Below are 14751 nucleotides of genomic sequence, written 5' to 3'. Positions count from 1 at the left end.
GGGAGATGTGGCAGAATTTGCATGATGGGGGGATCCCTTCAGCCACAGCATGAAGGATGGATCCAGGGGTCAGGAGTAGAGCAGAGGGAAGAGTTGACAAGGTGTGGCCAAGTCCTTATTCAGTATGGAGAACACAGGGTGGGCAGGAGGGACTCTCAGAGGGCTTGTGGGCCAAGGCTTGGTAGCTCCTCAGGTGAGCGGGAGAGGAAGGCCCTGAGAATGGGGAATGGAGATTGTTCTAGCTTTACAGGGATTACTGTATAAGAGGACTGAGTTTGGAGGAGATGGTGAGAAGTTCCATTTTGGATGTGCTGGGTTTGAGGTTCCTGTGGGACTTTTTAGTTCAGTTGTTTTTCCCACAGGCATTAGTCACCCTAGGCGTGGGTAGTGGGGAGGATGTGTTTGATCTCTGACTTGGAGCTTCCAAAGGGCCTGACTACACCCAGGCCCTAGGACCTAATAACTGGAGCTGCCTTCTGGGTGGCTCATCTGCTCGAAGCTGATGAAGCACGGCTGTAGGGAGTTTTAGGTGTGTGTAAAATAAGAGAAATGGTTGATCTCTAAGGCCCCTTCTAATGCTGCTGTCTGAGAATTCCCCCACGGGATACAGAGTAATCCATTGTCAGAAACAATTGCGTTTAGCAGTTTGTCTAGAGCAAATGACAGGTGCAGAGCTGTGTTGTGGCCACAAGGGTTTAGTGTGGAGTTAAATGTACTTAAAGTCAGGATGAAGACAAGTGTATCACAACTGAGCTGTTTCTCCCCTGGAAGGGCCATCTCCTATACAAAAGTAATTTCTGTTGCTTAGATGAGCACAGGGCCACTGTTAAAAATGGATTATTGGCTACCAGACACAGTTTCTAATTTACATTTTTGTGAAATAGTTTCCTGAAGTGCTCCATGTCCTCTAGCTAAGATGAAATGAAAACCTTCTTCTAGGAATACATGATTTTTCTATAAGTGACAGTCTTAGCTCACAATCACTACTTCACAGTGTGTAGCATTGTCGTGGAGGTCTCGGCCAATGCTATAAGGAAAGAAAAAGAAATGAGAGCTTTAAACATTGGAAAAGAAAAGGTAAAACTGTCACTTTTTACAGTTGATATACAAAAAGAAAAAAAATTAATAGACTATTAGAACTAAGAAGAGAATTTAACAACATCATGCAATACACATATCAACTTAAAAAAAATCAGCCGATTTTCTTTGTATCTGCAACAATCCATCAGAAAATGTAATAAAAACAAGATGACATGCATAGAAGCAGCCAAACTATAAAGTAACTGACTGTAGATACAGAGGCAGTATAATGGCTAAGAGTATGGACTAAACTATGTTAATCCAGGTTCTGCTACTTACTTGCTGTGTGTTCTTAGGTGAGTTATTTATCTCTCTGGGCTCAGTTTCCTCATCTGTTAAATGATGATAATAAAAGTACCTACAGTATAGAGTTATTATGATTATTACATGAGCTTGGATAACTACAGAATAGTGTTTGGAGAAAAATTTTAAAGTTCAGTCAAGAATATAGTGTGATTTAATTAAATAATTCTATACCCTTGGGTGGAAGGTTTCTCTATATAGAAAGCTTAAGCCTCTTTTCGTTAATTCACATGCTCAATGTAATTCCAATACAAGCTACAAATAAATTTTCTCAGAAACTTAATAATAAGCCTACTCTAAAATACAGATGTAATAAAATCTATGACTAAGTTAAAAAAATTTTTTTTGAGACATGGTTTTACTGTATCACCCAGGCTGGAGTGTAGTGGTGGCACAGTCACAGCTCACTGCAGCCTTGACCTCCTGGGCTAAAGTGATCCTCCCACTTCAGCCTCCTGAGTAGCTTGGACCACAGGCAACACCATCATGTCCAGCTAATTTTTATTTTTGTATTTTGTAGAGACGGAGTCTAGTTTTGTTGCCTAGGCTGGTCTCAAACTCCTGGGCTCAAGTGATCCACCCACCTTGGCCTCCCAAAGTGCTGGGATTACAGGCGTGAGCTGCTGTTCCTGGCCTTAAGTAAAAATGCTAAGGGAATAATGAAAAGGGGGACTAACCCTATCACATATGGACATAATTTAAAGCCATAGAAATTAAAGTAGTGATCTTTGCAACAGATCAGGCATATGGACCATTGAAACAGAGTAGAGAAATTATAGATAGATTTGTATATTTGGGTATTAAGTATAAGATAATACAGATGATTCCCTGATCAATGAGGAAAACATGCAATATTTAGTAGAAAATACTCAATGGGCTGGGCATAATGGCTCACACCTGTAATCCCAGCACTTTGGGAGGTCAAGGCAGGAGAATTGCTTGAGGTCAGTAGTTCAAGGCCAGTCTGAGCAAAAACTCCCTACAAAAAATTTTTTTAAAAAGAGAAAATGTTCAGCGTATGATGAAAAATAAAACTGGACTCCAATCTAAAACAACAGAGGTGAATCCATTTGGAAGTGAATTAAAGACCAAATGTGAAAAGTAAAATTGTTACAGTAGTAGAAGAAAATATAGAGGACTGTCTTTGTCACTTATAAGTGGGAAGGACTTTTTTAAAACTTCTAAAGCTCCAAACCATAAGGCAAAATACCTATCAATTGGATTACATAAAAATGAAGATTTCTGTTTTACACATTTCCTCTATGCATGAACCAAATGAACAGACAGCTGACAGATTGAGAGAAGATATTTTTCAGTGTCTAAAACCAATATTTTCAATGTCTAAAAACAAGGAACTCTTGTAAGTCAGCAAGAAAAAGACAGAAACACTAGTAAAAAATGCGTAAAGCTCATGAATAAGCAATTTAACGAGAAGAAACCCCAAAGACTAATGAGCATACCTGGAGGCTCAGTTATATCAGAAAATGCAAATGAAAAAAAGAATGAGATATCTCTTTACACCTCTTAGACTGACAAGTTGAGAACACTGGATACTGGTAAGTGTTGGGAAAATGGGGGACTACAGGATCTATTATATCACACCATGCCAGTAGGCTGACATGGCTGTTTTGAAGGGTATTCTGGCATTCCTTGACCAGATTAAGTATATTCACACCCATGACCCAGCTGTTAACCCTGGGTGTATATCCTATGGAGATTCTCATACAGGTCCACAAAGGAACATGTATGAGGATGTTCATTAAGTCATTGTTTGTAGTGATGGGGAACTGGAGGCAATGTAGCTGCTCATTACTGGGGGAGTGGGTGAGTGGAATGTAGGGATCCACTTCATGGAGTATTCTACGGCAGTTAGAAGTAATAGACTAGATGTACATGCAGTAACATGGATATGTATTAAAAATATAATACTGAGTAAAAACAGGAAAACAGAGTAAGATCTCTCTCTATAATGTATAAGTAGACAATTAAAACCCTTTGGGGCTGGGCACAGTGGCTCATGCCTGTAATCCAAGCACTTTGGGAAGCCAAGGAAAGTGGATTGCTTGAACCCAGGAGTTTGAGACCAGCCTGGGCAACATAGGGATTCCCCATCTCCACAAAAAATACAAAAATTAGTCAGGCATGGTGGCACATGCCTGTACTCCCACCTACCAAGTAGGCTGAGGTGGGAGGATCACCTGAGCCCGGAAGGTCAAGGCTATAGTGAGCCATGATTGTGTCACTGTACTCTAACCTGGGCAACAGAGTGAGACCCTGTCTCACTTAAAAGAAAAGAAAAAGGAAAGAAAGAAAAAGAAAAAAATGGGGGGGCTCAGATTTGTTTTTGGAATTCAAAATGCTTGGAATTTAGAAAAGGAAGAGGTGGCATCGCATAATCAAGCATAATAGTTCCGCAGCAAAACATAGGAATAGTTACATTGAGTGGCTAAAGAACCCCAAGTAACCCCTTGTCGCTTCAGTCAGATTTCGCTGTTAAGAATTTAAGAGAAAACTTCTGGTGTCCAGAGCTGTGTAAGTTTAAGAATTGTGAGTAAGTGATTGCGGAACTCTATTGACTTAAATGAGAATGATATATTCAAAATAGTACACATTATACAAAGACACAGACAAAAGGATATATATTAGTAGGATAGATCCCACTGGGGAGTGAGGGGAATGAGAATGAGGACTAGTGATAATGAAAATATATAAATACATTTAGATATTTGTATTTGATGGGGACAAATAACGTCATGGATTAAAGAATATGGTCCACTCCATCCTCTTCATCAGAAGTCCTTTGTCCAAAAGACAGATAGACACCTTCTGTAAGCAGATGACTCAAGGTCATTGTTTGCAAACTTCAATTGCTATTTGGTACATTCAGGTAGTTTTTTGTTTTGTTTTGTTTTGTTTTCGAGACGGAGTCTCACTCTGTCGCCCAGGCTGGAGTGCAGTGGCTCAATCTTGGCTCACTGCAAGCTTTGCCTCCCAGGTTCATGCCATTCTCCTGCCTCAGCCTCCCGAGCAGCTGGGACTACAGGCGGCTGCCACCACACCTGGCTAATTTTCTTGTATTTTTAGTAGAGACAGGGTTTCACCGTGTTACCCAGGTTGGTCTTTATCTCCTGACCTCGTGATCTGCCTGCCTTGGCCTCCCAAAGTGCTGGGAATTCAGGTAGCTTTTATTGTTAGTTATTCCTTTCCCATTCGGTTTGAGCTATGAGTCAATCAGGCATTTTCATCACTGAGAGACAAGGGTCTTTTCAAAAATTTGACAGAATATATTAAAGATCTATTTCTGTGGTTCTCAGTTGGAGATGGCCTTGCTCCCCAGGGGACACTTGGCAATGTGTGGAGACATTTTGAGTTGTCATAATTGGAGGAAGGGGGTTGCCACTGGCATCTAGTGGGTAGAAGAATGTTGCTAAATGCTGCTGAACATTCTACGGTACACAGGATAGCCCCTCACCCGCCCATCCGCCCCCCCAGACAAATAATTTTGTGATTCAAAGTATCAGTAGTGCTGGAAGAGAAACCCTGGCTGATTTGAGTAGATAGCTCGATATGCCTGTCTTCATTGTTATTCTCCCTGACAAGTAGACAAGGTCAGAGTCATAGGACCTGAACAGAAGATTTGGAACTATATCTTTGGTGCCATAATTTAGGGTGGCAGCTCATCCTCAGATGAAGTGAGATCCCAAAGAGGCTTGTGATCAGTTGAGACCGTAAATTTGCATGTGTAGGTCAGCACTGTAAACGTGATTTTCCTTCATAAAATAGCAAGGTCTCTGCTGTCAGTTTTCCTGTGGCTCTTGTCCATAAATGTCATTCAACTTGAGCATAAATCAGCTGGTGCCCACATGGCATCAATCTGGATTCCAATCCTGAGCTTCAATCCTGAAAGGTGGCCTGTCAGGGTAAGAAGCAGAGCTCTGTGTTCCTTGTTGAACACCAACCCCCAGTGTTACATGCTGAGGAGCTTGGTTCTGTGGAGCTCTTTCTTCTTTGCTGACATATCTGAGCAGCAGGGGGAGAAATAGTAAGTGAGCGGAGCCAGAAAGGCTATAGCACTAAAGGAACTTTGGGCCTACGATCAAAAGACCTAATTTCTAGCCTCTTTCTGCTACTTGGTACCTATGTAAGCTGGGGCAAGCCACTGCCTTTCCTAATTTTCATATCAGCAAAATGGAGATGGTAATCTTTTGTTGTGCTAGTTTTGTCACGCAGATCAATTATACAGTGAACAGGTAAGAATTTTGTAAAGTGGTAGAATGTCAACAATATTAGATATCATTCTACAGTGAGTGATAGTGAAATATAGTTATTAATTTTAGATTAAGACACACATACAGTTTCTTCCAAAACTATTTCTTTGCTCTCTTTGAAACATTAAGTGGCAACTTCTCAATAGCGGTGGAGGGGAGTCCTAAATATTCATGACACAGTGTCTGTAGGGAACATCCATGAGCCATCTATCCTGTTTTTGAGAGACTTCAAAAATCTTGACAACGGGCTTCAAGAAAAAAAATCCAGAAAGGTGTCATTTATTACTTATTGGTGCTCCAGAATAAAGATTGTATGAATACTTTTGCAAACTTTTCTGCATCTTGAGACAGTTTAGCAACTTATCTGAATATGATACAACACCTGGGCATTGTAGTCTCATGAATAATTAAGATCATCTGATGCCCAGACATTATAAAGAAAAAAAGGATAAATTTGACTGTAAAAATCAAATATTTTGATTCGTTGTCTATAGGAATTTTGAGTTGTCTATAGGAATATTATAGACAACTTTTAAAGAGAAATCATAACCCAGAAAAAACATTTACATGAACATGTAACAAACCAAGAGCTAATGTCACTGTGTAAATGCAAAAGTCAATAAGAAAAAGGCCAATAATTCAATTCAAAACTGGGCAAAGGATATGAACAGACAGCTCAGAGAAAAAGATACACAAATTACTTATAAACATATGAAAAATACTCAGCTGCACTGATAATTGAATAAATGCAAATAAAAATAATAGATATAATTTTTATCCTGTAGTTTGCAAAGCTAAAAGTTTGATAGTTTGTAAAGTGTGTAAGGGTATGTGGAAATGTGTAATCTAGTGAAATCTATTTGGAGGGATAGTTGGCAATAGCTATCAAAATGAAAAATGCACATACACTTGTTCAGCAATTCTACTTCTAGTAATTTATCCTATAAAACTATTTGCATGTATGCATAAAGACTTATTTCCATTAAAAATATCATTTTTAGTATCAAAAAACTTGAAATGCTTCCAATGTCTTATTAGCAGGAAACCATTTAAATAAAACATGACTCATCTTTTCAAGGGACTATTATGCAACTATCCAAAAGATTGAGGCAGATTTATATATATGACAGGAAAAATCTTCATTACTTGAAAAGTCGTGCAAAATCAAGGTTCAGACTAGTGTATAATATGCTTCCATTTGTACAGAGAAAAAAGTATATTCATGTACAAACACACATAGATACACGTGTAGTATAGATATAAATCTATGCTTCTAAGAGTAGTGACCATTGCCTCTAAAGAAGTAGACTGAGTCTTTGAAGTAGGAGGAAAACCTGACTTTTATTGAATATGCTCTGTACTTTTTGAATTATTTAACATACAAATGTATTATAGCTTCATTTATTTTTGTTTTGTTTTTATTTGTATTTTAACTGCTAAGACAGCTGCTGTAGCCATTCTGACAGCTTTTGAGCAGAGAATTTCCTCTATGTAGCAGCATTCTTGCAGGATTTACCATATGAACATCAAACATTGAGTATGTAAGTGGATTAACTCTCTACCCTCAAGTCAGGGGCTTTGTGTCTGACTCTATCTATCCATCCATCTTTTCATCCATCCATCTATCCATCCATCTATCCACCCATCTATCCATCCATCCATCCATCCATCCACCCACCCACCCATTTGTCTTCTCACTGTTTTGTAAGTATTCTGCATGTGTACTATGCACATTTAAATTTAGAATACCATTTTAACTCTATTATGTGTACCAATATAATTTAACTGGCTAGAATTTTTCTGCCCCATGGCCTTGTAAAGTGGAAAAACTATGGGCTTTGCAGTTCAGGCTAAAATCAGTTTCCATCCCTTTCTAGCTGTGTGATCTTGGTCATTTCTTTAATGTTTCTAAACTTCTATAAAATAGGGAGAAATACACCTGCCTGGTGGGGTTGTTGGGAGGAGCTATTGAGATACTGTATACACAATGAGATAGAGGGTAGAGCACTGTAACACAAGCATCATTGCCCCAGCAGGCTGCCAGTTTCCTTTCATGGCATTGATCTCTAAACAGTGACTACTAGGGCTTTAAATAATCCCTCAAGGGTCCATCACATGCCCTCTTTGGTGAGTATTAGTAATACTATGATGGTATTTGGGCTCCTAATGTGGAAGAAAACAGAATATTCCTAGTCAAGGTCATTTTTTTTTCTCTTTATGAAATGAAAATTTCTCAACATGAGACTTGAAAAGCAGGCTGCTGGCACTAGCTTTTTAAAGTGCCCAAACACCCATTTTTATTGTTTTATACAGTCATTATTCATGTTTGGCTTCCAGTGTTTATCTCTTTTTTTCTTTTTCTTTTCCTTTTCTTTTTAGAGACTTTTCACTCTGTTGCCCAGGCTGGAGTGCAATGGTGTGATCATAGCTCACTATAGCCTAGAAGTCCTGGGCTTAAGCTATCCTCCCACCTTTAGCCTCCTGATAGCTGGGGCTACAGGTGTGTGCCAGCCATCATGCCTGGATAATTAAAAAAAAAAAATTTTGTAGATATAGGATCTCACTATATTGCCAAGGCTGGTCTCAAATTCCTGGGCTCAAGTGATTTTCCCACTTCAGCCTCCCAACAGTGTTTTTCATTCATTTCACTTGTATATGCTCTTCCATCAGTGATAATGTTTCTTCTGCCTCAAGAACAAATGCCTTTAGACTTTTTAAAAGCACAAGTCTGCTGACAACAAATTCCATCACCTTTTGTTTGTCTGAAAATATTTTTACTTTGCCTTAATTTTTGAAATATATTTTTGTTTGGCAGTTATTTTCTTTCATCACTTTAAAGATGACATCACAATGCCTTCTGGCTTCCATTGTTTCTGTTAAGAAGTTAGCCATCAGTCTTACTGTTGCTTCTTTGAGGTAATTTATTTGTTTAGGACGATTATCTGACTGCTTTTAGAATTTTCTTTTTGTCTGTTATTCCCCTCTAGCAATTTACTTATTACATTTCTATGTGTATTTTTTTGTATTTATCCTGCTTGAGATTTGTAGCATTTATTGAATCTATAGCTTGATACCTTTAAATCAGCTTTGGAAAATTTTTTGTCATTACCTCTTCAAATGTTGCACCTATTGCTCCCAACTCAATTTCACTTTCCTACCCTTCTGAAGCTCTAATTGCACATCAGACCTTTTCCTGTTTTTATGGTATTGCCTACATATTTTTTCTTTTTAAAAATACTTGGGTGCTTCCATAGGGATATTTTCTACCAACCAATCTTCTAGGTCACTAATACTTTCTTCACCTGTGTTTAAACTATTGTCAAATTTATTTATTGAAGTTTTAATTTCAGTTGTTGTATTTTACAGTTTCATAATTTTCACCTTTTTTAAAAAAACACTTAGATTTCAATTCTCTGGTGAAATTCTCCATTTTGTCATCTGTTTTCTTAAACATATTAATCAGTGTTATTTTATATTCTGTATCTGACAATTTTAGCATCTGGATAATCTGCATGTCTGTTTCTATTGTGTATTTTTTAATCTCTTTTTCCTGTCTTTGTACACCTATAATTTTAAATTGAATTCTGGACATTCTATAGGAAAAACTGCAGAGGCTCTCTATGATGTTAGTTTCTGTCAGGCAGTCAGAATAAAGCAGAACACTTTAAACCAATCAGGAAATAAGCTGATTTGAACCTGAGTTGCAATGCTTATGAAGGCTGATTTATGTCTGTGTAGTGTTATTTTTAGGATGTAATTCTATTAGTTCCTGCTAGAAGCAGGAGGTGCTTACCATGGCCCCTCTGCTTTGGTGGACTCTGAACGCCAGTGTTTATTTACCCGGCACTATGAGACTGACACCAGCTCTGTTTCATTTCTCAGTCTCTTAGCAGCCACTTTTTGTTTTGCCTCTCTAACTCTTGGCCTGTTCTGGGTCTGCTCACAGTTCCAGTTGCAAAGTTGAGCCCTCAGAGTGATTATGACAACCGATGATATCCTCCTTTCAGACATAATATACTGCTCTTGGTGCTAGATGGGCTGTGAGGGACATAGACTAATAATAATAATAACAACCCGTGGTGTAGGCATTGCAATTATATCCACATTTTTACGGCTGAGGAAACCTAGGAACACAGACGCTAAGTCAGTCACTGAAAGTCATATAGTTAGTAAATAGCAGTGCTGGGATTTGAATCCATGTGGTCCGAGTCTTGAAGCTATTTTCTTAATAGAAAGGTAGACCTTCAAACAAGTTTTTATTGTTGAGAAGGCTAGATGGCATCTTCCCCTCTCCCTCCAAATCTGTAACAAACAATGAGAAACATGAGAAACAAAAACAAGAGCCCTTTATACCATAGCATCTTTCAGGAACTCACAGAAGTATTCTTCATTTGTGTACCCTGCACGCCTTGCATAGAACTAGGCACATGGAGATTCAAAATACAATGTTTTGATTGGGTGGGCGTGGTGGCTCACACCTGTAATCCCAGCACTTTGGGAGGCTAAGGCGGGCGGATCACGAGGTCAGGAGATCGAGACCATCCTGGCTAACACGGTGAAACCCTGCCTCTACTAAAAATACAAAAAATTAGCCAGGCGTGGTGGCGGGTGCCTGTAGTCCCAGCTACTCGGGAGGCTGAGGCAGGAGAATGGCGTGAACCTGGGAGGCAGAGCTTGCAGTGAGCCCAGATCGCGCCACTGCACTCCAGCGTGGGCGACAGAGTGAGACTCCGTCTCAAAAAAACAAAAACCAAACAACAACAACAACAAAAAGTTTTGATTTCCAGAGCTTAGGTCTGAAGTTGTATTTTACCACTTGTTCCTGGTGCTTTTCCTGTGTTACCGCAAGAGTTAAGCAACACGTATGTGAAAATAAAATGTAGGATTGCATAGTACAGACCAAGGAGGTAGTTTGGGGCAAAGTCTAGTCTGTGCTTTGTTTGTCAAACTGTGATCCTTATTGCAGCATGAAGGAGGGGGTACCTTTTTCTTATTCAGGTTCCTGGCAACTCTAAGATAGAATTTTTCCCTAATCCATCTCACTGGACTAGTTTCCTATCTTTTCAGGCAGAAAAAGTTGGCTGAGAAGACAATCTAAGCCCAGCTGTTTATTATTACATATCTCGGTTTATTTGGTGACCCGCATGGGAAATTTACAGATTTGATGACACTGAACTTAAAGAGAAGGAAAATAGGACAGGAAAACACTGGGCATATTTGTATTTCTGACGGGTGCAAATCTGTTGAATCAGTTTTCTGTTCCCAAATGCTTCCTTCAGTGTCAGACTGAAGCTTTTTTTATTTAGCAGATTCCCAGAGAAGAAACTCCAGAAGAAAGCAGCAGCTAGGACCTTTTATAATATCCTACAATTTCATTTCCCCTGTTGTTTTTACATCATGAAATGCCCCAGTGTTTAAAGACACAAATTTACCCAATGTCAAAAAACTCCGAAGAGTTTAGAAGAACAAATTCTGTGTATTTATCCCCCTGGTAGTAATATCCTTTTAGGCAATGGACACAGAACAATTTTGAGTGGTTTCTCTCCAGAAGCTGAATACTAATGTTCCCATGCCTAATAAATATGTAGTTTATAAAAAGATTAAGCAAATGTATGCACATAAAGCAATAGAAAATAATCTACTTTGTATTTAAATAGAGCTAAACCAATTTAATGCAATTGTTTCAGGGCATCCATCTGACAAACAGCTTTCTATAAGTGATTCTGTTTATCTTGGGATCATCTCAACCAAAAATTCTGGGAACAACCAAACAAAAAATTGACTGAATTTACACAAAATTCCAGAAAGACTTCCAAATTAATTGCAAAGGCTTTTCTTAAACTTCTCAAGGACATTTTTTAAAGGCTTGTAATATAGATCTCTTTTGGGGGTGCTGAGGACCAGACTGTGGCAGATTGATGCCTGTGAGGTCTGCTTATGATGATTAATAATGAAGCTATTTATGTGGACTTCACCTTTTTCTGAAAAAAACTCATTTTCCAGGTTGGAGCCGTTTCCCCTTAAATAAATTTGTTTCTCTTGGAATAATAAGGAAATATATGCCATTGTTAAAATAATATGTCGAGGGCAGAAAACACCTTTCTGAAGATCCTTTTTACTTCCAGTGGTAACCAAATAGGCTATTATTTTTAGAATACTGAGATCTCTTGTGTGGATAGGGTAGTTGAGTGACTTCAGCTATTAAACAGTTTTATTAAACAGGGAAACTTGGTACTTTTTCCAACTGCGTTTAGGGGATTTTGCACCCAAATATTACCCTGTCCAGGAGTGATTTGGGGAAGAGTGATATTACTGGTTACTGGTAACAGTTGCTAACATTTATTGACTATATATGTGTTATTTGCCAGAGACTGTACTAGACAATTTTACATTATTGCTTTATTTAATTCTCATAGGAACCCTGTGAGCTGGATATTATTACTACCCCTGTATTATAGACAAGGAAACTGGACGTTGGCAAGGTTAAATAACTTTCCTAAGATAGTAAAGCTGGGATATGAACCCAGCATATTTTTGCTGCCCTCTTAAAATATAATGCGGGGGTGAGAGGGCTGCTTGAGGGTAGGAGAGCCTAAATTAATACAACCTTTTTGAAAAGCAGTTTTGAAGTACTTATCAAAATTTTGTAAAATTAGCATACATTTTCATCAACTAATTCCACTTCTAGGGCTCCAGTTTAAGGCATTAATCAGAGATTTGGACAATGATTATGTTCAAGAATGCCTACCGCAACATTATTTACAAGACTTTACAATAGAGGAAAGAAAACATACTGTTTTCCTTTTTCCTCTCACACTCAACACAGAACACTTCTGTGACCACATTTATGATTCCCCCCACTCCCCTGCCAAAACCAAGCAATTCTCCAACAGACACCAACTGGGTATGCTATCATTCAATTCTGAGGCTATCTACCTAGAGACAGTGTTAGATCCTACAGGTCTAGGGCCGAGTCCAGTAAGATTGCCCCCTCTCCAGGTGCCAAACACAAGTCCAGGCCACCCCTACTTCAAACTGACTGGCTACAAATTGAGGTTCCCTTCACCCCCTCCTTGGGTTCCATAATTTGCTGGACCAGCTCACAGAACCCAGGGAAATGCTTAATTATATTTACGGTTTTATTATAAAGTATATGACAAAGGATACAGATGAACAGCCAGGTGAAGGGATGGATAGGGCAAGGTTTAGTGGGGCATGGAGCTTCCATGCCCTCTCTAGTCATGCACTCTCCCAGCACCTCCACATGTACAGCTTATCAAATCTTATTGTCCAAGAGTTTTTATAGAACTTGATCTCCAGTAACTCCTTCTTTCCTAGAGGTTGTTGGGTGGGCCTGAAAGATCCAACTTTTGGAAAAGTAGGGTAGATATGGGGAAGTCTTGATTATAATGCTAAGGACTTTCATTTGTTTGATAACCAGTTGCCCTCTGTTTTGGAAGCTGACTGTGAGAGGGGAGAATCTGAGGGCAAGGACCAGACAGCAGGCTTTAACCCAATTATGCCGGAGGTTGCAAATTTTTTTGGTGAAAATCAGACCTTGGTGATGACCTTGAGCAGTAGGATATAAATAACTCCCACAAGTTTAGCGTTCCAATAATGGAACACTAGGCATAAATAAAAGATTGGCTAGACAGACAGGATCAAAGAGAGGGGCTTTGATCAGGAGGTATCTTTAGGCTCAGCATTGGACTGGATATTTACAGGTGTGTGAGTGCGGATGAAATGCACAAACGCAAAGGAAACTCTGAAGCTTTAAGCCTGAGTGATCAGGAGGGTGATGATGCCATTTAGTGGCTTAGGGAAGAAAAGGGGGAAAAAAGTAGTGCATAGACACTACTCGTTGTAGTGTTGGACATAGACATCCAACAGTCATGTCCCCGTTCTTCACAGAGCCTAGATTTTGTCAAATGGTTAACCCATCCTGAGCCCCTGAGAAGTGTCCTAATTGGTGCAAGCCAGTCAGCTCAGGACATCCCTTTGCTGACTATTCTTGGTCCAGGTGTAGACATGGCACTTAAATTGGCCGTTTCATATTGAGTGCATATTTTGTGGTTGGGGGATGCATACAACATATGTTGGGAAGTACACAGAAGAGTAGGGTAACTAAATGCCCAGACTGAAAAGGGAAGCCATAGTGTATTTGAGAGAATCAGGGAGATCTTGGAGAGAGAAAGGCTCAGAAAATCCATCCCATAGAGTTGTTTATGAACCCCAGGGCTCACCATTGACCTGCACTTGTGTACTTCTGACCCTAGATAGAATACCAGACACTATGAGAAGAGAACTATGGGATTGGGTGCACATGAGACAGATCCAAGTAGCTTTGCAAAGGCTTTGTAAACTGAACTGTCATTAAAACTATAACCCACAGAAGCTGGTCTGGCTTTTGGCCTGAACCCAACTAGGTCAGTTGCCTGCTAAAACAAAAATATCAAAATCCTCCATAGGATTTAAACAAGACCCTGAGTCTCATAATGTAACATTCAGAATGGAAAGAACACAATCCAAAATTGCTCAATGTACTAAGAACCAGGGAAAATGTTGACTTCCATGAGAAAAGATAGGCAACAGATGCCAACATTGAGATGACACAATTTTGAAATTATAGCCTTTAAATATTATATAAATGCATCACAAAATGAGCACTGTCTTGAAATGAATGGAAAGATAAAAAGTCTCAGCAAATAATAGAAAATACAAAAAGAACCAGATGGAAAATTTAAAACTAAAAAATACAATAACCAAAATAAAAATCTTTTCAGATAGACTGAATAGCAGAATGAAGACAACAAAAGAATCAGTACATTTGAAAAAAGATCAGTAGAAATTATCCAGTCTGAACAACAACAAAAAAAGGACTTGGCAGACGTGGGAAGGGGAGAAGCACTCTCTCTCTCGTGGGAGAACATCAAAAATTCTAAATTTATACCATCAGAGTCCCAGAAAGAGAGTAGAAGGAGTAAACTTCAGAAAAAAATATTTGAAGACTAATGAGTGAAAATTTCCTGAAGTTTGAAAATGAGCAACAGAGACACAGGACAAGAACAAGGCAAAAAATAAATGTCATAGAAGACATATA

General features: G+C 38.9%; 1 long non-coding RNA gene across 1 annotated transcript in view, besides 1 other annotated feature; it reads left to right on the top strand.

Annotated features, from left to right (window-relative positions):
* The window catches only part of IL12A-AS1 (IL12A antisense RNA 1), a 293693-nt gene that overhangs the window by 219055 nt on the left and 59887 nt on the right, over window positions 1-14751 (top strand). The gene's annotated exons all lie outside the window — the stretch shown is intronic.
* Window positions 345-1544: an enhancer, noted in NCBI's record as "CDK7 strongly-dependent group 2 enhancer chr3:159704282-159705481 (GRCh37/hg19 assembly coordinates)". NCBI's record gives its function as "activates an origin of replication core promoter dependent on BRD2, BRD4, P300/CBP, MED14 and CDK7 cofactors, with strong dependence on CDK7, by STARR-seq in HCT116 cells {active_cell/tissue: HCT116}" and the evidence as "EXISTENCE:reporter gene assay evidence [ECO:0000049][PMID:35650434]".

The sequence above is a fragment of the Homo sapiens genome, chromosome 3 (assembly GCF_000001405.40).
Source record: "Homo sapiens chromosome 3, GRCh38.p14 Primary Assembly".
Classification (NCBI taxonomy): Eukaryota; Metazoa; Chordata; class Mammalia; order Primates; family Hominidae; genus Homo; species Homo sapiens.
The sequence above is the reverse complement of the archived record's forward strand: the minus strand, read 5'-3'. Positions and strand labels throughout refer to the sequence as shown.